We start from the raw sequence: 27,676 nt of genomic DNA, 5'->3' as shown, positions 1-27,676 counted from the left end.
AATTGGGGCCAAGGGTGGAGGGGTTTCAAGGAAGGGAAGGAAAAAATTAATTAGCTAGCCCCATCTTTCCTCTCAGCACGGAGGCAATAGATTCTTACAAAAAGAAATACTGTTTCCCGAGGGTGCTGAGGATCTATTTTCTTGCATCTCTTATGTACTCATTTGTGGTTCTTCAGGGTACTCATGAATCAGCATAGTATTCACTATAGTTGCTCATGATGGCTGGAACACTTTGTAATATTCAACAACATTAGTTTTAAATTGCATATATTTTATCCTAGATTGAATCTGCATAAAGAGTGACACTGATTAGCTTCTTTATATACTAGATGAATGTTGAAACTAGCATTTATTTTAAATACTGTGATCGAATTAAACTTAAAAACAAATAAATTCTAATTTTATTTAAATATATTTTATTAAAGCTATTCATTGTTAATTATTATTTATATTTTGCTTTTTAGGTTTACTAGATTATTCTAATGGTTTAAAAGAAAATTAGCTGTTTTTAAAAGTTATGAAAATAATTTGTTTTTGCTTTTGCCCCAGACTCCATAAATAATAATAATCTGGAAATGGATTTGGAGGTAAAGGGGGTGAAAAATAAGAACACCTATATTTTTACTGAAGTAGAAATAAAAGTTCTGCAGGCACAACATTGGATTAACTGCTCAAGAACGTTGCAAATAGTTACTATTGGCACTATGAGGAATGGTGTAGAGAAATAATTAAATATGGTTAAGGAATCAACAATAGTTATTGGACACTCAGCAAGTATTAGGGAAATTGAATTGAAAGGGAGAAAAACAGAGAGAGGTAATCTGGGTAGAACTGATAAAGGGTAGGTCATCCATAGAACAACCAACCCCAAGATTCCACATGGAACTCTGCCATGATGTTGTGTTTAATTTAGACTGCCTTTCGCTGGGGACCACCAGATTAAAAAAATAAAGCCTTTTTTTTCCCTTTTATATTGTCTTTGGAAAGATTGCCTTGCACACATCCTTAAATGTCAGCTTTAATTAAGTCTCCCAGTCTCAAATACTTTCATCAGTGAGCTGAAGTCCTTTGAAGAGGCTTCTTTCCTCAAAGGACTGTAGCTCACTGAAGTCAGGATACTGGGTAAAATAATCTGTAGATAATGCAGCTTGAAATAAACACTCATTCTGGGTTTCTGATTGTTTGAGAGATGAGATTAATAACTAAAAGCAAATTGATTTGCCTTATACCAATCCACATGGCCAACCTTAAGTCATCCCAGTCCATCACTATCTGAAATACCTTGGTGCAAATCACCTCCTCCTGCTTGTTACAAATCCTATAGTCTAATTTCTTCTAGAATCAGGTACAAGCTCTTTCCTTTGCAAAATGGCAAATAAGAAAATAAATTAAAGAAATCTAAGATGTCCATAGGAACTAAATGCTAGACAGGATTCTACTTTCTTTGTACTGTTTGCTTTCACAGAACACGTCAACTTCCTGAAAATAACTGAGGCTGAGATCCTTAGTTGTTTAAGCTATGTGTCTCAGGTAGTTTTTATGTAGCCCCCACTACAGTCCTGGGCAATGCGGGACTCAGCACAGAAGTACTCAGCGTGTCGTTCCAATAGGCTGAGGGTTTCCTCAGGAGGAAGCAGTTTTCATTCTTCTTAAATTCAGCCTCAAAACCGTTAATTCCTGAAAGAACCCTATATCCTGATAGGTACTTCAGGAGAAGCTGGAGTCCTTGGCTGAGGTATTGCACATATCAGAAAATATATGTTGGAACAGAAGATCAATAATAGTTACACCTCAGCTCCAGAGGGGCTCCTTCAGAGACAGCGACATGAACGTCAGGCTGAGTCACAGAATGGGCAGTGGTTTTTCCTACAATGCCAATGCTATGTCAGTGAACTCAGCTAACACAAAAAGTCCGTATTCAGAGTCAAATAGACAATGCTCCATTTGTGGACAAGAGAGTAAAATGGAATGATACCCACTTGGGAACAGGAGTACCCCAAGCGTCAAGACACACAATGAGATCTAGCCAAGCACTGAGGGAGCAGCATGCACCTTTCCAGGAGATTCCCCACAGACACAATCTGACCACGGGGTAACTTGAATCCAGGTTGAAACTAAGGAGAAATGGCAGGGATTTAGATTTCTTCTTCTTAGGGATCTTGTAGAAACTGCTAGTAAGAGATGCTCTCTTGACAAACTTGCCTGCCTCTGGTGTCTGAGATTCTTTATACATCGCTGTCTAAAAGAATGCTCAGTCAGAAAGGACACCTCTTTAACCTGTAGAGAAGGAAGGAGCTTATTCTAATCTTTTAAAGAAAAGCCATTTCCAATTTAGGCAACAACACCCTCCAGGGGCCAAATAGAGGGCTAAGAGAAATTCACAATTTTTGTGAACTTCCTCCACATCCTTCCTGCCCTTCTAGTGTTGAATTTCAAAGATTTATGATAATGTACAAAGGAGGATTTATGTTTGTAAGCCTGAAACTTACAAGATGGAGGATTTTAAAAAGAATAACATAAAAATAAGAATAAAACTGGGTACAAAAATAATTTTAGGTCAGAAAATCACAACAAACTATAAATTTTAAAACACGAATACCATAAATACAGAATTCAGAAATTTACATATTTCCTTGTTTATCTGACACACTTCTATAATACTTTATTTTTAAATTTTCAATTTTTGTGGGTACATAGTAGTTGTATATATTTTAGGGGTACACGAGTCGTTTTGATACAGGCATGCAATGTGAAATAATCACATCATGGAGAATGGGGTATTCATCTCCTTAAGCACTTGTCCTTTGTGTTACAAACAATCCAATTACACTCTTAGTTTAACTGTACATTATTTCAAAATTCACAATTAAATTACTTTTGACTATAGTCACCCTGTTGTGCTATCAAATAGTAGGTCTTACTCATTCTTTCTATATTTTTGTACTCATTAACCATCCCCACCTCCCCCCTCATTCCCTCACTACTCTTCCCAGCCTCTGGTAACCATCCTTCTACTCTCTATGTCCATGAGTTCAATTGTTTTGATTTTCAGATCCCACAAATAAATGAGAACATGCAATGTTTGTCTTTCTGTGCCTGGCTTATGTCACTTAACATAATGAGCTCCAATTCTGTCTATGTTCTTGCAAATGACAGGATCTCATTGTTTTTTATGGCTGAATAATACTCCATTGTGTATATGTACCACATTTTATTTATTCATTCATGTATTGATGGACACTTAGATTGCTTCCAAATCTTAGCTGTTGTAAACAGTGCTGCAACAAACAGGAGTGCGGATACCTCTTCAATATACTGATTTCCTTTCTTCTGGATATATACCCAGCAGTGGAATTGCTGGATCTTATGGTAGCTCAGGTTTTAGTTTTTTGAGGAAACTCCATACTGTTCTCCATAGTGGTTATACTAATTTACACTCCTACTAACAGTGTACAAGAGTTCCCTTTTCTCCACGTCCTTGCCAGAATTAAGATTTTTTGTTTTTATATTTTTTGGTTCCATACTTCTTAATTGACTTCATATGACAATAAATTTGTAATATTTCCTATATAGAGAAAATAAGATAATGAAGTCTTTACTCCAAACATGTTTGATCAATTTTTTTAATTCACAGTTATGGTTGATGGATCAAGCAAAAATAATAACACTGTCTGATGAGGTTCTAAATATATATTGGGGAAAACATAAAGAAAACTGTATCATGAATTGGTGAGGACAACTGAATGTAAAGGGAGACAATGTTTTTATACTTCATTTAAATTGGTGGAATGACATCACCAATAGACAACTGTGTTATCTATTTATAATAGCCATTAGAGCAAACACTGAAGAAAGCTACACAAAAATACACATCCAAGGCATTATAGGTAAATTGAATGGAATTTTAGAAAATGTCAAATAATTCACAAGAAGTTAGGAGATAAAACACAGGGAAACAAAAAACAGAACAAACAAAATTAAATGGAAGATTAATCACTAAAATATACATTACATTAAATGCAAATGATGTACATATACCAATTAAGATACAGAGATTGGTCTACAAACAGCAATGAAAAGAGAGTTAAAATACAGAGAAAGTGAAAAGAGTGGAAATATGATCCAACTACAGCTGTCTACGAAGACCTCATTTCTAACTTAATGACATAGGCATGTTGAAAGTAAAATATAGGCCAGGTGCGGTGGCTCACGCCTGTAATCCCATCACTTTGGGAGGCCAAGGCTGGTGGATCATGAGGTTAGGAGATTGAGACCATCCTAGCTAACACGGTGAAACCCCGTCTCTACTAAAAATACAAAAAATTAGCCGGGCGTGGTCGCGGACGCCTGTAGTCCCAGCTACTTGGGAGGCTGAGGCAGGAAAATGGCGTGAACCCGGGAGGCGGAGCCTGCAGTGAGCCAAGATTGCGCCACTGCACTCCAGCCTGGGCGACTGAGCAAGACTCCGTCTCAAAAAAAAAAAAAAAAAAGAAAGAAAGAAAGAAAGTAAAATATATATCGTGCAAACATTAATCAAAGGAAAGTCAAAATAATTATATCGATATCAGGTAAAGTAGACTTCTGAGCAAAGCAAAGTACCAGAGACAGAAGAGACAGAAAGGAACATTATATATTGTTGAAAGGGTCAGTCTTTCAAGAAGGAATAGCAATGCTAAATGTGTATACACCAACCAAAAGAGCTGAAAAATACATGGAAGAAAAACTCATAGTAATGAAAGAAGAAACCGATGATTCTAGAATTATAGTTGGAAACTTCAACACCCCACTCTCAATAACTAATAGAAGAGCTTGCCAGAAAATTAGCAAGGACATAGACGAACTCAACAACTCTGCTAGCCAACAGGATCTAATAGCCATTTCTAGAACATGGCACCTACCAATGGCAGAATAAACAATCTTTTCAAATGCCTGTAGAACGTATACCAAGTATGCCATATCTTAGGCCACAAGACAAACCTCAAAAAATTAAATGTAAAAGAATTGAAACAATAAAGACTATGTTTTATAACCACAATAGAATACAACTATAAGTAAATATCAGAAAGAGAGCAGAAAAATCTCCAAATATTTGAAAATTAAACAACATACATCCTAATAATCCAAGGATCAAAGAAGCTCAAGGGAAATCAATCATACACTGAACCGAGTGGAAATGAAAATACAACATGCCAAAATTTGTAGGACATAGTCAAAGCAGCATTGAGAGAAAATGTATATCCCTAAATGCAAATATTAAAAATGAAAAAAGTATCCAAACAAAAATCTAAGTTCCCACCTCAAGAACCAAGAAAAAGAAGGAAAAAATTAATCCAAAGCAAATTTAAGGAAGGAATTAATCAAGATAAAAGCAGAAATCAATAGAACTGAAAACAGAAACAAAAATTAAACAGCCGTTTTTAAAAAGATGGGTAAAACTGACAAACTTGTAGTAAAACAAAGAAAAAAAAGGCAAATTACTAATATTAGGAATGAAACAGGGAGTGTTATTACAGACCCTGCAGACATAAAAAGGACATTTGGCAAAAACAAAGGAAATAGGAATAAAGTGTGGGCTTTAGTTAATTTAAAAAAGAAAGAAAAACCAAAAATGTTTAACATCACTGGCTATTAGAAATATGCAAAGTAAAACTACAATGATTTCTCCATACCTCTTAGAGTTGCTGAAGTATTAACCAATGACAACACAAAATGCTAGCAGAAATGTGGAGAAATTAGATTACTCAAACACTGCTGGTGGGAATGCAAGACAGTACAGCAACCTAGAAAATACTTTGGCGATTTCTTATAAAACTAAACATACACTTACTCCATGTCTCAGTAATTGTACTACTTGGTATATATTCCAGAGTACGAAGACTCACCTTCATACAAAAACCTGAACATGAACACTTATAGAAGCTTTAATCATAATAGCTCAAAACTGGAAACAACCCAAATGTCCTTCATTAAGTGAATGTTTACACAAACTGGCATATCCATGCTATGAAATTCTACTCAGCAATGAAAAGGAATGAAACATTAATATATACAACGACCTGTATGAATCTCCAGATAATTATGCAGAGTGAAAAATATTCATGTTCATAAATATCCTGAATGATTCCATTTATATAGCATTCTTGATAAAATTATGGAAATGGAGAACAAATTAGTGGTTGCCAGGGGTTAAATAGTAGATGGTGGCATAATGGAAGTTGCTATTGCTAATAAAAGGGAAACATGAGGATGCTTGTAGAGATGGAAATGTTCTGTATCTTGACTATATCGACATCCATATTCTGGCTGTAATTATATCATTGTTTTGATATATATACAACATATCAAAGATAATATATTATTAGAGGAAACTGGATAAAAGGTACATGGAAAATCGCTGTATTACAATCCATGTGTGTTGAAGACAGCTGCAAAACTGAGAATTCTCCAAAATAACTTCCATGTAGAAAACTGTTTATTACATGATAAGAAATAAAAATGTGATAATTTGAAGCATACATTTATTATTAAAATAAATAGTAACCTCTGCATTTGTTTAGAACTTAGGTCAAAAAATATTTTTTATCATTGACATTGTTTAGAATTCCTGGCATACGGTAATAAAAATCAGATTGGCTATTAATCATTTTTATATTGTTTTTAAAAAGCTCTCTATAAAGCACCCTGTTATTACCTGCAACTGGGACAAACCACTCCCATTGCCTGACCTTTGGTATGCTTCTGCTAATAACAATTTCTGGAGTGTAAGTCATTGAGTTGATGGCAAAGTCAAATACAGTCATACCTCTGAAATATTGCTGATTATAGACCACCATAATAAGGTGAGTCATGCAAACTTTTTGGTTTCTCAGTGCTTATAAAAACTATGTTTACACTACACCGTAGTCTATTAAGTGGACAATAATAGCACTGTGAAAAACAATGTACATACATTAATTAAAATGTACTTTATTACTAAAAAATGCTAACGATCATCTGATTCTTCAGCAAGTCATAATCTTTTTGTTGGTGGAGGGTCTTGCCTTGATGTTGATGGATGCTGACTGATCAGGATGTGATTGCTGAAGGTTGGGGTGACTATAGCAATTTCTTAAAATAAGACAACAATGCAGTTTGCTGCGTCAATTAATACTTCCTTTCATGAAAGATTTCTCTGTAACCTGCAATACTGTTTGATGGCATTTTACCCATAGTAGAACTTCTTTCAAAATCTGTGTCAAGCCTCTAAAACCCTGCTATGGGTTTATCAACTAAGTTTATAAAATATTCTAAATCCTTTGTTGTTATCTTAACGATGTTCACAGCATCTTCACCAGGAATAGATTCCATCTCAAGAAACTACTTTGTTTGCTCACCCATAAAAAGAAACTCCTTATTTGTTAGTTTTATCATGAGATTGAAGCAATTCAATCACATCTTCAGGTTCCACTTCTAATTCTAGTTCTCCTGCTATCTACCACTATATTTTGATAATCATTTGGATCTTTTAAAACTGGCATTTAAAAATTCTGAGCTCCAGAGGGCACCTCAAGAGCCTTTCAACTCGTTTACTGCCTCCAGGAAAGAAAACAACTTAACCATGCCAAACCCATGATTTCCCTCCCATTCTTAAAAGCTTTCTACAGCAGTGTCCTAGATAGTTAAAATATACAAGAACCATCAATATCATTTCAAAATTATCTCAGTTACTTATTCCACTAAAGTATTTACTCCTGCAGTTACTTACTCCACTGAAGTCTTGAACCTTTCAAAGTCATCGAGTGTTGGAATCACTTTCTTCCAAAATCTTGTTAATCTTGATATTTTGACCTACTTCCATGAGTTACAAATGTTCTTAATGGTATCATGTAGAAGATTTTCAATTTACTTTGCTGAGACCATCAGAGGAATTACTATCTATGGCAGTTATGGCCTTGTAAAATGTATTTCTTAAATAGTAAGACTTGAAAGCCAAAATTATTCCTTGATCCATGGGCTGCAGAATGGATGTTACATTCACAGGCAAGAAAACATTAATCCCCTTGTACATCTCCATCAGAACTCTTGGGTGACCAAGTGCATTGTTAATCAGCAGTACTATTTTGAAAGGAACCTTTTTTTTCCTGAGCAGTAGATCTCAACATTGGGCTTAAAATATTCAGTAAAACATGCTATAAACAGATGTGCTGTCATCCAGGTTTTGTTGTTCCATTTATAGAGCACAGGCAGAGTACACTTAGCATAATTCTTAAGGGCCCTAGAATTTTCAGAATGGTAAATGAGCATTGGCTTTAACTTAAAGTCATCAGCTGCATTAGCACCTAACAAGAGAATCAGCCTGTCCTTTGAAGTTTTGAAGTCAGGCATTGACTTCCTCTCTCTAGCTATGAAAGTCCTACGTGGCATCTTCTTCCAATAGAAAGCTGTTTTGTCTACAATGAAAATCTGTTGTTTAGTGTAGCCACCTTCATCAGTGGTCTTAGTTAGATCTTCTGGAAACTCGCTGCAGCTTCTACATCAGCACTTCCTGCTTCGCCTTGCACTTTTATGTCATGATGATGACTTCATTTCTTAAACCTCAGGAAACAACCTCTTGTAGCTTCAAACTTTCCTTTGGCAGCTTCCTCACCTCTATCAGGCTTCACAGAATTGAAGAGAGTTAGGGCCTTGCTGTGCGTTAGGCTTTGGCTTAAGGGAATATTGTAACTGGTTTGATATTTTATCCAGAACACTAAAACTTTTGCCATATCAGCAGTAAGGCTGTTTTACTTTCTTATCATTTATGTGTTTAACTGGAGTAGCACTTTTAATTTTCTTCAATAAATTTTCCTTTGCATTCACAACTTGGCTGTTTAGTTCAAGAGGTCTATCTGTCAGCTTATTGATTGGGCTTTTGACATGCTTTTCTCACTAAGCTTAATCATTTCTAGCTTTTGACTTAAAATGAGAGTCCCATCGTGGTGGTTCATACCTATAATCCCAGCTGTTTGGGAGGCAAAGGCAGGAGAATTGCTTGAGCCCAGGAGTTTGAGACCAGCCTGGGCAACATAGTGAGACCCCATCTCCACAAAAAGAAAAATAAATAATGTGAGAAATATGCGACTCTTCCTTTCCCTTGAACAGTTAGAAGTCACTGTTAGCCAATTTTCAATATTGTTATGTCTTAGGGGATAGAAAGGCCTGCAGAGAGAGAAAGAGAGGGGCAAACGGTCACTTGGTGGAGAAGTCAGAACACACACAAAAGATTTATTGATTAAGTTCACTGTATCGTACAAGTGGTTCTCTCTGCCTGCAGCTCTTTTTAGCAGGAACCTTAACTTTGCTATTGCAATCTTTCCTACATATCTCAATGTAACTATTTTCTCAGAGAGGCCTTCTCTGACCACCAGCAGCATAATCCCCACCGTGCCAAAGTAAACACAATTTTATCATCTTTCATATCCATTTTTAAAATTTATTGTCCTTATCATGCATTGAAATTATATATTTGTTTGAATTGCTTTGTTGTGTGTATACATCTTCCCTGTTAAATTGTAACTGTTCACTGCCATATTGCCAACAGCAAAGTGTTTGCCTACCTAAGATGCTGTTACCCCATGTGCAGGAGAAAGTAACTTCTTTCAACTTCTTTCAAATGTGAACTCTCACATTTATTCTTGCAATGTAGTTCATTAATTGTCATTAACAATAGAAGTTCATTTATATTATGGAATATAATAGCTATTAAAGTAGCACTAGTCAAGCCCCCTTTTTCATAACTATATCCAATTTTATTTTTAATTTTTTTACAATTTCAACTTTTATTTTAGGTTTGAGGGTTTATGTGCAAGTCTGTTACATGGGTATATTGCGTGACACTGAGGTATGGGGTATGAATGATCCTGTCACTCAGGTAGTGAGCATAGTATCCAATAGGTAGTTTTTCAGTCCTACCCTTGTCAGGAAACCCCAGTATCTATTGTTCCCAGTTTTGTGTCCTTGTGTACCCAATGCTTAGCTCCCACTTACAAGTGAGAAAACGTGGTATTTGGTTTTCCTGTTTCTGCACTAATTCACTTAGAAATTTGGCCTCTAGGTGCATCCATGTTGCTGCAAATGCCACGAGCTCATTCTTTTATGTCGCTGCATAGTATTCCATGGTGTATATGTGCCATATTTTCTTTATTCAATCCACATTTGACAGGTACCTAGGTTGATTCCATGTCCTTGCAATTGTGAATAGCACTGCAATGAACATGCGAGTACATGTGTCTTTTTGGTATAATGATTTATTTTTCTTTGGATATATACCTAGTAATGGGATTGCTGGGTTGAGTGGTAGATCTATTTTAAGTTAAGTTTTTTGAGAAATTTCCAAACTGCTCTGCAAACTGTTCACAGTGGCTGAACTAATTTACATCCCCATCAACAGAGTATGTGTTCCTTTTTTCCCATAGCCTAGCCAGCATCTGTTATTTTTTGACTTTTTAATAATAGCCATTCTGACTGGTGTGAGATGGTATCTCATCGTGGTTTTGATTTGCATTCCTCTGATGATTAGCGATGATGAGAATTGTTTTCATACATTTGTCGGCCACTTGGCTGTATCTTCTTTTGAGAAGTGTCTGTTCTTGTCCTTTGTCCATATTTTAATGCAGTTATTTGTGTTGTTCTTATTGACTTGTTTAAGTTCCTTATAGATTCTGGATATAAGACCTTTGTTGGATGTGTAGTGTGCAAATATTATCTCACATTCTGTAGGTTGTCTGTTTACTCTGTTGATAGTTTCTTCTGCTAGGCAAAAGCTCCTTATTTAGATCCCTCTTGTCAATTTTTATTTTTGTTGCAATTGCTTTTGGGAACTTAAGCCAAAAATCCTTTGCCAAGACTGATATCAAGAAGGGTATTTCCTAGGTTTTATTCTGAAATTTTGATAGTTTGAGGTCTTACTGTAAATCTTTTGTTTTTAATTCTGTTTATTTATTGAATAGGGAATCCTTTCCCCATTGCTTGTTTTCCTTGGCTTTGTGGAGGATTAGATGATTGTAGGTGTATGGCTTTCTTTCTCAGTTCTCTAGTCTGTTCCGTTGGTCTATCTGTCTGTTTTTGTACTGCTACCATTATCATTTTGGTTACTGTAGCATTATAGTGTAATTTGAAGTTGAGTAATGTGATGCCTCTGTCTTTGTTCTTTTTGCTTTGGTAATTTGGGCTCTTTTTTGGTTCCATATGAATTTTAGAATAGTTTTGTCTAATCATGTGAAAAATAATGATGGGAGTTTGATAGGGATAGTTTTGAATCTCTAGACTGCTTTTGGCAGTATTGCCATTTTAACAATATTGATTCTTTCAATTCATGAGCATGGAATGGCTTTTCATTTATTTGTGTTGACTCTGATTTCTTTCAGCAGTGTTTTGTAGTTATCCTTGTAGAGATCTTTCACTCTCATACCATTTACCATAGCCACAAAAAAATTAAATACCCAGGAATCCATCTAACCAAGGAAGTGAAAGATTGATCAGTTCCAGGGGTCTTCTGGCAGAGTTTTTGGCAGAGTCTTTAGGATTTTCTAGGCATAGAATCATATTGTCAGTAAAGAGAGATACTTTTACTTCCTTTTTTCTTACTTCAAAGTCTTTTATTTTTTCTCTTGCCTGAATGCTGTGGCTAGGACTTCCAATACTATGTTGACTAGGAGTGGTAAGAGGGTCACTGTTTTCCTGTTCCAGTTCTCAAGAGGAATGTTTTCAGTTTTTACCTGTTCAATATGATGTTGCCTGTGGGTTTGTCATAGATGGCTGTTATTAATTTGAGGTATGTTTCTTCAGTGCCTAATTTGTTAAAGGTTTTTATTATGAAGGGATGTTGGATTTTATCAAAAGTTTTTTCCATGTCTATTGAGATGATCTTATGGCTTTTGTTTTTAATTATGTTTATGTGGTGAATCATATTATTGATTTGCATATATTGAACAAAACTTGCATCCCAAGAATGAAACCTATTTGATTCTGGTGAATTAACTTTTTGAAGTAGTACTGGTTTCGGTTTGCTAGTATTTTGTTGAGAATTTTCACATCTAGATTCATGAGGAATATTGGCCTGTAGTTTTCTTTTTTCTTTGTGTCTTTACCATGTTTTTGTTTCAGGGTGAGGCTGGCTTTATAGCATGAGTTAGGAAGGTGTCCGTCCTCCTCAATATTTTGGAATAATTTCAGCAGGATTGGTACAAGCTCTTCTTTGTCCATGTGGTACAATTTGGCCGTGAATCCTTCTGGCCCAGGAGGTTTTTTTGGTTGCTAGATTCTTAATGACTGATTCAATTTTTTTCTTGATTGAATCTTGGAAGATTGTGTGCTTCCAGGAATTCAACCACTTTCTCTAGATTTTCTAGTTTATGTGCATAGAAGTGTTTATAATAGTTTCTGAGGATCTTTTTATTTCTGTGGTATCATTTGTAATGCTGCCTTTGTCATTTTTCATTGTGCTTATCTGGAACTTCTCTTTTTTTCTTTGTTAATTTAGCTAGCAGTCTATACATCTTGTTTATTATTTTTTTCAAAGTTAATTTAGCTAGCAGTCTATACATCTTGTTTATTATTTTTTTTCAAAGAACCAACTTTTGGTTTTATTTATGCTTTGTATGGATTTTTGTGTCTTGATTTAGTTCTGCTCTGATTTTAGTTATTTCTTTTCTTTTACTAGCTTTGGAGTTAGTTTGTCCTTTTTCTTGTTTCTCTACATATGATGTTAGATTATTAATTTAAGATCGTTCTTATTTTCTGACGTTGGCATTTAGCACTATAAACTTTCCTCTTATCACTGATTTTGCTGCATCCCAGAGATTTTTGTATGTTGTGTCTCTGTTTTCATTTATTTTAAATAATTTTTTGATGTCTGCTTTAATTTCATGGTTTATCTAAAATCATCCATGAGCAAGTTGTTTAATTTCCATGTAATTATGTGATTTTGAGAGATCTCCTTAGTATTGATTTCCATTTTTATTTCACTGTTGTCTAAGAGTATGGTTGGTATAATTTCAATTTTTAAAAAAATTTATTGAGGCTTGCTTTATGGCCAATGAGAAGAATATATATTCTGTGGTTGATGACTGAAGTATTCTATAAAATTCTGTCAGATCCAATTGGTCAAGTTTAAGTGCAGAATTTCTTTTTTTCTTTTTTTTTTTTGAGATGGAGTCTAACTCTGTCACCAAGATGGAGTGCAGTGGCGCAATCTCGGCTCACTGCAATCTCCGCTCACTGCAATCTCTGTCTCCCAAGTTCAAGTGATTCCCCTGCCTCAGCCTCCCAGGTAGCTGGGACTACGGGCACACACCACCACGCCTGGCTAATTTTTTTGTATTTTAGTAGAGACAGGGTTTCACCATGTTTGCAAGGATGGTCTCAATCTCCTGATCTCATGATCCGCCCGCCTTGGCCTCCCAAAGTGCTGAGATTACAGGCTTGAGCCACCACGCTCGGCCCTAAGTCCAGAATTTCTTTGTTAGTTTTCTGCCCTGATGATCTTCCTAACATAGTCAGTGGGGTGGTGAAGTCCCCCACTATTTAAGCTCCTTTATAGCTCATATATCTGAATGTATTACTTACCCACGAGTTGGTTTGTAATGTCAAGAAAGAAAGCAGCTTTGTAGCCCAGATATGGCAGAGGTTGTGAATGCAAACTCCTCATCACACAATATGGAGCCTGAATATTTAGTAAAAGAAATAAATGAGAACAAGGACTTGTTGATAAGAAAATCTTCCAGGAAGGCCAAGATATCTGTTTGGAGTTTCGAGCTTTTATTGAGGACAGAGTTTGACACGTAAATATTGAGAACTGGGCTTTACATCAATGCATCTCTCTGACTTATCTAAGAAGTACTATCTGATTGATGTAGGCTTCAATGACCTATCTGAATGGAGGACAAGCTGCCCTCCAGCTTTAACATTTCTTATGGTGATTCATTAATTTTTCATGTGCAAAGTGACTCTTATGGTGAAGTGAGAACTTGGCAGGGAAGAAAAACTCAGTGTCTTTACAATAGTTCTGTGGATATAAGTGAAGACCACCTAAATGAAAAAAGCAAAGGCAATTTATTCAGAGCTTGGTATACCAAAGGAATCAGCTACCGTCCCTTGTGTTTGGCAGAGACTTAAAGATAGGCAGAGGAGTAGGGAAGCTTTAGAGTGGAAGAAAACTAACAAAGCTTCAGGTATGCCCTGGTTGGAGGCTCTTGCATGGGGAAGATATAAGCATGTCATTGGTTAGATGTGCATATTTAGCTTTCTCTGGTCCTTCCTACATTGAATAAACCTCAGAAAATTATGCCATGTGAGAGAAGCCATACACAAAGGCCACTACCTACTATATTATTCCATTTATATGAAATGTACAGAATAGGAAAATCCATAGAGACTGAAAACAGGTTGGTGGCTGCCAGAGGCTGGGAGGAGGGTGGGCAAGGTAACTGCTTAATGGACATGTGGTTTCCTTTTGAGATGTTAAAAAGTTTTTGAAACTACACAGAGATAAAAGCTGCACAACATTGTGAATACACTAAATAACACTTAATTGTTCACTTTAAAAGACTGAACTTCATGGCATGTAAATTAATTGAAATAAAACTATTATTTATATTAAAATTGATAAAAATCTAAAGATCAGAGAATTCATAGTTTAATTTCAGATTATTACATCAAGTTTTGTGTATTTGATTGCTTCTGTGTGGAGACAGTGTCAATTTAGAAGTCCTCTTAATGCAAAAACATTGCTCAGTCTCAAGATAAAACATGCAGTTAGAGCCCCAGCTATAGAGTTTGGGTATTGGTTGCAGGTGCCTGTTGTGCACTGTGCCTCACAGCACAGAGGTAGGTGGCTGAGTCACCAGGCTGAGAAGCTGCAATGTATAAAGTACTACGTCCTGATGATTTATCCAGCGAGGCATTAAGTCTTCCACTTGTTTGCTCTCTCTGACTTGACTGAATAAGCAACAGAGATGTGAGACCTTTCCCAGGGTCCTGCCTAAACCACTGGAGGTTGTAAATAGCGCTATCAGTGAAACTGCAGTTGAGAACCAAGTTTTCTCCTTCTGGGACACTCAGAGCTGCAGGAATCTGCGTCACCTCCTGTTTGCTGCTCACCCCTGTTCAGAAAAAGAGCAATAGACTGGTTAGTGGCTAATGATTCCTTAGAAATTACCTTTAAATTTATTTTTTCAATTTCCACAGAAATTCCCAGTAAACCATACAGGCATAACAACTCCCTTTCTTTCTCCCTCTTTCCTGGGAGAAACGTCCTGGAGTCAGCCTGCTCTTTGCTCATTTCCATTTCCCTCTAACTCACATTGCAGCTGCAGCCAAAGGATAAGCAGGCCCAAGAGGGTCTCCATTCCTTCTGTCACTTAGACTCACTGAGAACTGAAATCTTATATCTGAAATATGGAGAATGGCTCACAAGATAAACACTCTGCTTTGCTCTCTCATATGTTCAAACATTTCTACAGGAAACACAGAGTTGGCCCAGCCAATCTGAGACAAGTCTCTCTCTCTCTCTCTCTCTCTCTCTCTCTCTCTCTCTCCTCTCTCTCTCCTCTCTCTCTCTCTCTCTCTCACACACACACACAGATCTGCAAAATGTGGGAGGTGGAAATGGAATGAAAGAAATGAAAACACTGCCACTTCAGAACCAAGCACAGTACTGCTAGAGAAATGCTTCTTTCTCCTCCACTTTCACCTCCTCCTCCTTCTCCTAAAGAAACAAAAATGTTTGAATATGAGATTTGTAGAATGCAGCCAAATCAGTGCATAGAGAGAAATATATATTCTTAAATGCTTATGTTAGAAAAGAAAAAATATATAAATGTTTTCCATACTGTTACAGCAACTTTCTCCAGATTCCTCTGACTGCTGTCTCTTCTTGCCACTTCAGTGCTTAAGGACTGGTTTCCCGTAACTTGCATTTTTGTGAAAAGGCCCTTTCTATCATCTCTTACTTGTCATATTGCAAAAGGAGTTCAGAATCATACTATTAATATTCAGTTTTGTTGATAATGTCAGGAAATGGATACTCTGATATTCTGATAGCTGAAATATAATTAATAAATGTCTACATATGTTATTTACATATTACTGAATGCAAAATTTCCATTTGGCCAGGAATTTTTCTTAAGAAATACTCTTATAAATACACTTACAGCACTGTACATTGCATGCAATGGTTAAAAAAGTGGAAAAAAATTTAAATATTCTTTCAATATAGATAGTCAATACATTATGGTAGCTCTGTATTGTGAGTTACTTACTACACTTGCAAAAAAGTATAAGGTGGGTTAAACTTTCTGAGTTGCAAAAGCTTCTGTCTCTTATTCAATTGAACCACAGCATTTTATATATAGTGTGATCCTATTTACGATTTTTAAAAGTATGTTTACTGTGAGTTTGTATTTAAATGTATAGAAACAGTGGAAGTGTGATGAAACCCAACAGTGATTAGGAACTTGTCAGAAGAAAATCAATGAAGTATCACTTTTTATTCTATATTGCGTAGATACTTAAACAATTACACATTAATTTACAAAGTGATTAGTCATAAAAATGGAATACAGGTACATAGAAAACTAGGGAAATGTTGAAATAAAAATATTGATATAATGATTTCATGTTAGCAAATTTTCAAAATTCATTTACTTTTCAATGCATGTGCTATAGTTGAAAAAATCGAGAGAGCCCAGATATTTCTCAGAAAAATAATGCTCAATTTATGAACTTGACACCGGACCTTTACCAAGAATGAAAATGTTAGATTGGAGAAAGAGCAATATCCAGGATCTTCTCTCTCCTTGTTTTTTCTTTACTGGTGCAGTTCTTGATTTCATGTACCTTTCCTTATTTTTCCCCTTTCCTTCTTCTCATTTCATTTTCTACCTTCTTCCATTAATCTCACATTTTCTTGGGCAATGCCCTCTTTAAATGGATTTTATCTCCCCTCTTCACCTGGGAGACAGATGTGGTCCAATCTGCCCACAGTGTAGTAACACATGGTGGTGCCTTTGAGGGTTATCTGGTGCAGGACCAGGGTACTAGCCTTATTGTCCACAGGAATGGGCAGTGATATGGTTTGGATCTGTGTCCCCACCCAAATCTCATTTCAAATTGTAATCCCCAATGTTGGAGGTCAGACCTGGTGGGAGGTGTTTGGATCATGGGGGTAAATTTTCCCTTTGGTGCTGTTCTTGTGATGGTGAGTGCATTCTTTTGAGATCTGGTCATTTAAAAGTGTGTGGCACTTTCCCCGTCCTCTCTCTCTTCCTCCTACTCCAACCATGTGAAGTGCTGGCTCTGCCTTCACCTTCTGCCATGATTGAGAGTTTCCTGAGGCCTCCCCAGAAGCCAAACAGATACCAACAACACGCTTCCTGTACAACCTTCGGAACCTGAACAGCCAATGAAACCTCTTTCCTTTGCAAATTACCCAGTCTCAAGTATTTCTTTATAGCAATGAAAGAACAGACTAATACAGGCAGTGAAGCCATTTGACTGGTCACCTCGTTCTTTAAACCTCCAATCAGATACTGTGAGCCATGGTTATCAAACTGTTGATACCAGATTGTGTCCTCATTTCCTCCAGTGGTAGAGTGGGAACAGGGTATATTCACTTCTTGTTTCAGCACTGCCCTACTTTTGTGGCTTTAACATTACACATAATCCCTGAGGAGAAAAACGAGATTATCCCCAGACCCTCAAATCAAGGCAGATTTTTCAGATCAAGGTATAAGGGGGTTTCAAAAAGTTTATAGAAATATGGAATTAAAAGGTAACAATTAAAAAATATAAACTTTATTTCTCAACATAAGCTCCAACAAATTCAAGACACTTTTTTAAGTGATGATATCAGCCATTTAGTCCATCCCTAAGAACTGAGAGTCCAGGAATTTAACCATGTCAATGCAGGTTTGTTTATATATTAATTGAAGAAAAAGTAAGTGCCCATTAAAGATTTTTTTTAAGATTAGGAAACAAAAATAAGTCAGAAGAAAGAAAGTCAGTATTGTGAGATGGAGGCCTAATGATTTCCCATTGAAACTCTCACAAAGAATGAGCAGGAACATTGTCGTGGTGAAGAACTCTCTGGTGAGCTTTTTCTGGGCATTTTTCTGCTAAAGCCTTGGCTAACTTTCTCAAAACACTCTAGTAATAAGTAGATGTTGTCATTCTTCAGCTCTCCAGAAAGTCAACAAGCAACAATCCTTGAGCAAAACAAAAAACAAACAAACAAACAAAAAAACCTGTTGCTACAGCCTTTGCTCTTGACCAGTCCACTTTTGCTTTGACTGGACCACTTCCACCTCTTGGCAGTCATTGCTTTGACAGTACTTTGTATTCAGTATTGTACTGGTGAATCTGTGTTCATTTTCTGTTAAAATCCTTTGAAAAAATGCTTTAGGATCTTGATCCCACTTGTTTAAAATTCCATTGAAATGTCTGCTTTTCTCTGCAGCTGATATGGGTGCAACAATTTTGGCACCCACTGAGTGGGAGGTTTGCTCAACTTTAATTTTCAAGTCAGAATTATGTAAGCTGAACCAGTTGAGGTGTCTATGGTGTTGGCTATTTTTTCTGCTGCTAATCATTAGTCCTCTTCAATCAGGGCATGAATAAGATGAATTTTTTCCTCTCAATCAATGTGTATGCTCTGCTGCTGCATGCTTCATTTTCAACATCATCTTGTCTCTTCTTAAAATGAGTTATTCATTTGTAAACTGCTAATTTCTTTGGGGAATTGCCCCCATAAACTTGTCAATGATTTCACCATTCTTCCACCCAAGCTTTACCTTAAATTTGGTGCTTGTTTTTGCTTCAATATTGGCAGAATTCACGTTGCTCTGACAGGAGCTCTTTTCACACTGTTTTGTCTTTCATCCTTCTTAGTGCCTCAAATTAGATACTGTGTACAATGTCATAACAAGTTAGTAGGAGTTTATTTTGATGCAAAAATTTAAAAATTATGCATAATTTTTTTGTAATATGCATTTTTCATGAACTTGTTGAAGACCCCTGGTATAGTACTGAGAAGTAATTTTATGTATGACTCCCTTCCCCTAGAAAGAGCCAAATACGGCTGGGGTCATGTAGACTCACTAGTTAAGAGGCAGGACTCCCTGGATCTGTCTGTCATTTTCCCTTGGGCTCAATAAAACAGGAAATTCTACAGCAAAGAAAACTCTTCTGTGAGCTTTCACTGAGGGTTATAGGCTAAAATTTGTCCCTCTAAAATTTATATGTTGAACTCCTAGCGCCAAGTACTTCAGAATGTGACCTTATTTGGAGTTGGGTTCAAGATTATTTCTTGATTATAGAGGTATCTAAGTAAAATGAGGTGGGATCTAATGCAATATAAAAGGAGAAATTTGGACACAGATATACACAGACGGAAGATGATATGAAGACACAGGGATATGATGGCCATCTATAAGCCGAAGAGAGAAGCCTGAAACAGATCCTCCTTTCCTGGATTCTGTTGGCATCTTGACTTCAGACATTGCCTCCAGACCATGAGACAATAAATTTCTGATTTTTAAGTCCCCAGCCTATGGCACAAACTAATATACTGGGTATGATGTAGCCCCTCACACTGAGGATGTGACCTCCTCAAAAAGTTAACAGCTGTTATTTGATTGGTTGCCCTTAGCATCTTGGGTGAAGGAGAGTAAGACAGTGCAGGCAGCAGGTTCCTCTTCTGATTTCTTGGTTTAGAACACCATCTTTTCTTAGGCCTGAAACTCTTACCCAGGAGTACAGTCCACTCTGTCACAAGTTTCTTTATATTCAGGAAAACCCTACCAAGGCTTATACCATCATAAGAAGATGGAGAAAGCCCATCTAAATAACAATAAAGAGGAAATGAGGCTCAGACGCAGACAGTAATGTGTCCAAAGTGACCAGAAAAGTATAATCAGAACCTGATCAGGAAGCCATGTCTCCAGATGCCTGAAATGCCTCTAGATATCATCTATCTCTAGGAGAGCATTTACAGACTGCATATCTTGGTACAAAGGAAACAAGAGACTTGGGGTCACACACATCCTTACACCCCAGAAACCCTATCCCTGACCCACCTTTCCCCATTCTCCATGTGTGTGCCTAGTGGTGACACACACTAAGAATTGAAATGCAGAGAAGAGGAAAGACAGAAGAAAGGAGGGGACTGTAAGAAGGAAGGGAGCAACCTAGAAGACTTTTTCTCATTATCTTCTCAAGTTTAAGAGAAATGAAATAGATTGAGAAAAAAAAGTATCTTCCCCACCAAAAATATCTACTTTTCTCTATTTCAAAAACGACAAAAAAAAGATCAATTCAACTTGAAAGCTGTATAACTACTTCCTGTCTCTGTCTTTCTATATTGTCCTATTTTGAGTAGAAACAAAACTTTTCATAATGGATTGAGGCAAGGCCAGGAATTATTGAATGTTGGAAGCTATGCACAGACTACTCTGCTTAGAACAAAGAGAATAAAGAGTATCATTTGTCACAGTTTCTGCACGGCTTCACTACTGACTGTGAGCCAAACACTCTTTCCCCAGCTGAACAGGCATCTTATTGACAGACACAGCAGCCCCCTCTTGTGACTAAATACATGAATGCTTTCATTCAGGTCCTGGGCAGGTCTTCACCTGCTTTCGTAAAGTTACTTTACAGATATGGAAAAGAATCACTTAGACGTGCCTGTGATGTTACAGAAAGGACTTCACCAGTTTTGGTCATTTGTGGTTTCAGAATGATCACCATGTGTGACAAGCCATTTTTCAATATTAACAGTGGTTGCCTTTTTATATTATTATTTTTAATTAACCTCACAATTTTTCCTCCATTGAGGCAGTTGGGTGATTTTCTGCTTATCACTTTCAGGAAAGGAGGCATAGCTGGAAACCAAAAATAAAGAAGTCTTTCCTACCATCTTATTTCAAAACTTTCAGCTTTATAGGCAAATTAAGGAATCCAGCATAAACTGACTTATAGGAAATGATACAAAGATATAATGCAAGTCTGCCTACCAGAGTCTATATAAACATTTTCTGGGTGGAGCGATAGGGAGAGGAAAGGATGCCAAAGAAAAGAGCATCAAAGAGGCTTAAGCATGGTTGGGTCCTTCAGAGGGGCCCTGGTCCTTATGCCCTTGAAGAGGTCTAGGAAAGAAAGCTCCAAACCTCTGGGCCACTTTCAGTGGTTAAATAAACCTCAGGGCAGTTCTGTTTAACACTCCAGTCTTCACCTTTCCTCTGCTCTCCAAACTTCAGGCCTGATCCCGAGCTACAGTGAGGTGGACATGGCCTACTTTGTTCTCTTCTTTCCTCCTTTTTCTTTGATTTTAACTTCCCGGGATTAAGGTGAAAGGAAAAGATTAAGGGGAAGAAACAACAAAACTGTTCTTACTTAACCACTGTGCACCTCTAGTGTTGTTGCTTCCCTGGCCGACCACTGATGGCTGTGTATGGTGAGTGTCCCTATGAGAGAGCACCCAGGGGACCTCAGGGGCTCCTCAAGGGAGGTGTCTCCCCTTCCTGTCAGCCCCTCCCTCAGGAGAACCCTCCACAGCCCCTTACTTTCTCCTCTGGGTGAAGCTCTGGTGGGACAGCTCAGCCCTGGCACCTCAGAGGCAGCACCTGCCCACAGAATACACGTGCCTCCTCACCATGCCCAGTGCAGAAACCCAGGCAGGCCATGGCTGCCCCCTCTCCACTCCACCATCTCTCTCCAGTTTCCTCGTCTTCTTCTTAAGTAGATGTAAACATAGATTAAAATCTGCTTCAGAACAAAGATGAAAATGTCACACAATGTTCCTTTTTATGCAGCAGATCTCTGTCTTTGGAAGTAATTATTTTGGAGTACTGACCCCTCAAGTGGCTTGTGGGAAAGGGGGAATACTCTGATGATATTCTCTTCTTGACTCCTCCCATCCCTCGCTACCTCCTCACACCAGCTAAGAGGTGAGAATTGGAGGTTGCAGAGCCTGTTCAGTTGCTGCTTCTTACCTCTACAGAGAATGTCCAACTGTGGGCCATTCTTTTTTTAATTTTTTTATTTAAAAAAATTTTTTGAGAAGTGCAGCTGTGCTTAAAATGTGAGCCATTCTTAATGAAAAATGGTGGATGCCTAATGAATCTTGGTTCCTAGCTTTGGGTCCTATTTGCCAAATTCGTAACAGAAAATGTCCCACAATATATCCTATTGATCTCATGGGAAAAATAAGTCTGTTTGATTCCATAACAAATTCTCCAAAAGACAAAATAAAAATATATTCCAATAATTAGATGTCATATAACATATAAATAAATATAAATGTGTAATGTGTAACATATAGATTATAAATATATAAATGTAAATAGACATATTTGTATTCCAATAATATTAGGAATATAATATTAGGTGAGCTCTGGGGACAAAAGTCAATTACAGTCTTCACACCAACCAAACTCATCATGGATTCAGGAAAAGGAAAGCCTGGCTATGAGGATGCAGCAGAAGATTAACCATGGTCATTAAACAATTATGAGTATTAGCATGGTCTATACTGGAATTATATGAGCATGTTAAAGGTGGAGTTTAGAGCACTATTGTGCTATATTATGTAATAAACAGAGCCTTAACAGTATTGGAACCAACTTTCTTTAATAGAAAGTTAAAATGTTGTAAAGAATCCAGGCAGAGTAAAAAGAGTAAATAAAATAATTAGATAAAACCTGTCTAAATTTTAGAACATTGAAGGAAACACTAAGATAATTGGTTTATGGCCTTTAAAATATATAGAAGTTTTATTTTTTAATTGACAATAAAGAATGAAAAAGTTTAATTCATAGTGGAGAATCTCATATATTGTTTTAGCCTATTTTCTTCTTGGAAAGTCTGCAACTAAAAGGCTTGTCTATCCCCTAATCTCTCTGCTGCTTTTCAAATCATAAATAAATTTCTGTTGTTGAAACAAAAATCATTCCCTTCTTTATCATCAAAACAAAGTATCTTCTACTAATTATGATAGGATATAGTTTAATCAGAATAGGCATAACCCACATTAAGGCATTCCCAGGTGTGTTTCCTGGTTCCCTAAGCCCTGTTATCTAAGTTAACACAAAATCACCTGCATGTCTATATCATCCATCCTCCTGAAATGCAGTACTCTCCCAGTTGCAGTGTTTTTCAAAGTAAGATCTCCAGATCTAATGATCAAAATCATTAGACAACTCACTAAAAAAAGCAGACTCCTGACCCCGTATCAGACCTATAGAATCAGAATCTATGGAAATAAAGCATTTTTAAAATAAACTCTTCATGTGATTCTTAAATGTACAGTAAAATTAGAGAAGTGCTGTCTAGTTGGTTAACTCTGAAGTTTTATATGTTTTTCTTCGTCTTATTTTATGGTACCTGCAGCATTTACTTTATCTCAGAAATGCTTTCATCTCAAAACTTATGTAAGCCTCAGTTTCCCAATCTGAGAAATGGGTTAATATTACTTCATAGTTTTTGTGACGATAAAGATGATGATGAGAATGACAAAATTGGTACCAGGTAAAGCAGGAATCCTTCGGTGATTTTTGTATCGCTTCACCTGAACACATTGGGCAAACTGTAAGGCTGTAAACCCAAAGGGTTAAATACAACAAAACCAGATGACGTGGGTAAAATAACACTTGTGCCTCTCTTCCTAAATCAGGAAGCTTCTACTTCTGCTCCCTTTTTTCTAGGCCTCCCTGCATTTCTTCTACACAAAGCGGAGGTGGAAAGAGCCGATGCTGTTGTTTAGAGTCTATTTATAAGTAGGGCATTAGTCATTACTTTGACTCAATAGCTAGAACTCCATAAACCACTCGCTCACTTTATATCTTTTACATTTTTAAGTCCCTGCCTCCCTGGGATGATAAGCAGATCTAAATAGAGTGGCCAACTCTTCCACTAAGTCTGGCCAATAAGGAAGGAAAGGAAAATAAATAAGATACAAAGATTATAATGCAAGAAACAAATTTTTCTTCATTTGCAGATGGCATGATTGTGGACTTAGAAAATCCAAAATAATGTATGACCAAATGATTAAAATTAGTAAGTGTAGCAAGTTCAATGAATATAAGGTCAATATGTAAAAACCAATTGTATTTCTATACACTAGCAACAATTAGAAAATAAAATTTTTAAATCTGCATGAAATGTCTATACATGGAAGTAAATCTGATACAGGATGTGCAAATCACTACATTGAGAACTAAAATCATTGCTTAAGACATTAGATGACCTTAGCAGGTAGATAGTCTATATTTTTGACACAATGACTCAATATTTTTGAGGTAGCAATTCTCCTCAAAGTTATCTATAAGCTTAATGCAATACCAATCAAAACTGCAAGGGCAATTTTGTAGATGTGAAAATGATTTAGAATTTAGAAACTAGTTCTAAAATTTGTATGGATTCAGAAAGGACATAGAATGGATAAAATAATAAGGGGAAGAACACAGATGAAGAAAAACACTGATGAGTTTCAAATTCTATTCTAAAGCTATATTAATAAGCACATTATGAGATAGCTGGGAGGCTGAACTAACAGAAGAAACAAAATAGAGTGCAGAAATAGAGCTATACACGTAGGATCACCTGATTTGTGACCCAAACACCACTGCAATTCAGTGGGGGAAAGGAAGATCTTTTCATTAAATGGTCATGGGGCAATAGGAACCTGGACACCTTTTGCATAGCATCACGAAAATTGATTTGAGGTGGCAAATGGACCTACATGAAAAAAAGTGTGTCTGTTACTTGAGGTAGGCAAAGATTTCTCAATAGGGCACAAAAACTACTAACCAATAAAGAAAAATAAATAGTTATTTGGACTTTACCAAAACTAGGAATTTCTGTATCTCAAAGAAAATCATTATGAAAGTGAAGAGTCAAGTAATGGATTAGTGGAGAATTCACAATAGATGGTTTTGACAGGGGCTTATAGCCAGAATCTATGAAGAATGCCTACATATGAACAATAAACAAATAAGCAAACGACTTGAACAGGTACTAGACAGAAAGGAATATCCAGATGGACAATGAGCATATGAAAAGGTGCTCAGGATCATTATTCTTCAGGAAAAGCAAATTAAAACCACAATTTTATGAGATACCACTGCATGTCACCATAATGGCTTAAATTAAAAAACAAACAAAAAGAAACCTGATACCATTTTTTGGTGAAGACATGGAATAACTAAAACTCCCATACATTGTTCATAAGAGCATACAACTTGGTAGCCTTTCGAAATACATTTGATAATAACCACTAAAGCTAAATACATGCCTATTTTATGGCCTAGTTAAGTCCATTCAAGTCCATTCCAGTGGAATTACCCAAGAATAGTGAGTTTATATGTCCACCAAATAAAATTTAAGTAAATGTTTATAGCAACCTTTTCCATAATGGCACAAAACTGTAAACAGTCTAAAAAACCCAAAAGTCTATTTCAAGAAGAATGGAAAAATAAATTATTACATATTTATACAGGGGAATTTTACATATAAATTTTAAAATAACATGCATACAGAAACATTAATGAATTTCAAAGATATGATATTGAGAGAAGAAATTGAGACAGTAGAATATAGGCTGCACAATATAATTCCAGTCACACAAAGTGTAAGACCAAGTGATGAAAGGCAGAATCATGGTTACTCCAGGTGGAGAGTTGGGGAAGGGCCGTTGAATTGGAAGGGGCATGTGGAAATCTTCTGGAGTAATGGAAAATTTCAATATGTAGGTCTGGATGGTGTTACCCAGATACAAAGAAGTGTAAAATTCTATTGAGCTGTAAGCTAAAGTTTTATTCACCTTATTATGTGTTGTACCTCAATTTCAAAAAGAAAGAGAAGAAAGCGAAGAAACAGCATCTTTAAATGTTCAGATAAATGTGAGTACCATCACCTGAGAATGGAGAGACATGACTGGGGTGTGAGACAGTGCTGTTGAGTTTTGTAAATATATGTGAGTATTATTTTGATTAAAGTAACATTTATTTTAATGAGAAGGGAGGAAAGACTGCTGCAAATCTTAGACAAGATGAGTACTGAAAAATATCTGATAGCCTTATCAATACCAAAACCGCTGGTGTTAAAGTGAGAACTTCCCTTGGAGTAATGCTAACAGGGGCCAGGTTTGAATGAGACTGAAGAATGGAAATTAAGAGAATGAGTCCAGACAATTCTTTCAAGTAATTTGATGATGAAGGGATGAGAAATATAGAGATGTGGCTGGTGGAGATGTGGGTTTCAAGAAGACTATATTAAAATGAAAAAGATTTACTTATATTAACGTGACCAGATTATTGTGAGACAACACAGACACATACACACATTTTTTTTTTTTCGGCAGGGAGTGTATGCACCTGTGCAGTCTTTTTCCAAGTAGTCCGCAACTGGAAACCAGGACTCTTCATATTACATCTGGCCCTTCTGAATTTATGTGAGGGAAGTTCTGGGATGTTATTAAGAGTAGACTGACCCATGAACATGCACAAGGGACTGTCTAGGATGCCTGGACAGAATGAACAGTAGTCCCTGCCCTCTGGCTTTGTCTCATGACTTCATTCTCCAAAGGACCATTTGGAAAAAGGTCCTGGGCATTAAATAAATACTCCTTCAAGAGGAAGAACAGCAGAGATACCTCTGCCATCATTTCAGATCCTCAGCTGCAGGGTTTTGATACAAGTTGCAGGTGCCTGGGGAACGCTGTGCCTGCACAGCACAGAGATAAGTGGCTGAGTCTTCAGGTTTAGGGGCTGTGATGTGCAGAAAGCTTTCCTTCTTTGTTAATGTGGCTTTTAGCCTTTCTTTCTCCTTTTCTTCCCCAGCTGAATACAGGGTGAAGAGGAATTCAGGGCCTTTCCCAGGATCTTGCCTATACCAGAACAGCCCTCTTAAACCGCTGACTGTGTAACTGCAGTTGAGACTGCTACTCTCTCCCTCCTGGAGTCTCAGGGCCTCGGGACTCTGCGTCACCTGGTCTTCTCCACTCAACCCTGTTCAGGAAAACAAAATCAGAAATTATACAAAGCTTTTAGTTTAGCAGCTTTGAAAAATTCCAACAGGAAAACTGAATGAGCTGAGATTAAATCTTCATCTCTCTTCCTCAGCTTTGCACGAATGGTTCTCATTTCTTAACCTCCAACTTACAGCCAAGCTGAAGCCACAAGACTATGAATGCACACTCCAACATTTTCTCCATGCTGGTATCTCAGCCTAGAAACAAATTACGATAATTCCAACCTTCTTTTCTCAGAGGCGCCACTTCTGTATCTTAGTTCATATTCTGTAATGCAGGAAAGAGCCTTTCTGTTGGCTGCTCAACCAATCAAATGCAAGTCCTCTAGTAATTTTCATGCTTTTGAAATTAAAGGCAGTTGTAGAATGAGAGTAAATTGAACCACTGCCACCTCGTGGCCACAGTACTGTCCCACGGTACCCACTTTATGCCACCTACAAAGAAAAATATTCTTCATATTTGGTGGGCATAGTGCATATGAGGTTTAAAGTGGCAATGAGAAAAGCCTTATTTTACTTGGACTCTTAATTCTCTAGATTGTTTTTTGAATGGTTTTTAAAGCTAAGCTGCAACCAGAAGTTACAAAGGAGTTGAATCCGACTGGTAGCTGTAATTATATTTCTCACTAAAATATAT

General features: G+C 36.8%; 2 gene segments (V, D, J or C) and 1 further gene, besides 9 other annotated features; all 3 read right to left on the bottom strand.

Moving 5' to 3' along the window:
- TRA (T cell receptor alpha locus) overlaps window positions 1-27,676 on the bottom strand; it is a 930,229-nt gene that overhangs the window by 484,247 nt on the left and 418,306 nt on the right.
- Window positions 14,791-14,799: a recombination feature (nonamer).
- Window positions 14,800-14,822: a recombination feature (spacer).
- Window positions 14,830-15,119: a sequence feature (TRAV21 leader sequence).
- TRAV21 (T cell receptor alpha variable 21) lies at window positions 14,830-15,365 on the bottom strand. The segment is given in 2 exon segments: window positions 14,830-15,119; window positions 15,320-15,365. Coding segments are annotated over 2 exon segments (336 nt in total), but the record flags the coding sequence as incomplete, so codon positions are not given.
- Window positions 15,320-15,365: a sequence feature (TRAV21 leader sequence).
- Window positions 20,476-20,525: an enhancer, noted in NCBI's record as "active region_8112". NCBI's record gives its function as "activates an Ori minimal core promoter by ATAC-STARR-seq in GM12878 lymphoblastoid cells {active_cell/tissue: GM12878}" and the evidence as "EXISTENCE:reporter gene assay evidence [ECO:0000049][PMID:35858748]".
- Window positions 26,694-26,702: a recombination feature (nonamer).
- Window positions 26,703-26,725: a recombination feature (spacer).
- Window positions 26,733-27,223, bottom strand: TRAV20 (T cell receptor alpha variable 20). The segment is given in 2 exon segments: window positions 26,733-27,017; window positions 27,172-27,223. Coding segments are annotated over 2 exon segments (337 nt in total), but the record flags the coding sequence as incomplete, so codon positions are not given.
- Window positions 27,007-27,017: a sequence feature (TRAV20 leader sequence).
- Window positions 27,172-27,223: a sequence feature (TRAV20 leader sequence).

The sequence above is a fragment of the Homo sapiens genome, chromosome 14, assembly GCF_000001405.40.
Source record: "Homo sapiens chromosome 14, GRCh38.p14 Primary Assembly".
Classification (NCBI taxonomy): domain Eukaryota; kingdom Metazoa; phylum Chordata; class Mammalia; order Primates; family Hominidae; genus Homo; species Homo sapiens.
This window is presented reverse-complemented; position numbering and strand designations above follow the sequence as displayed.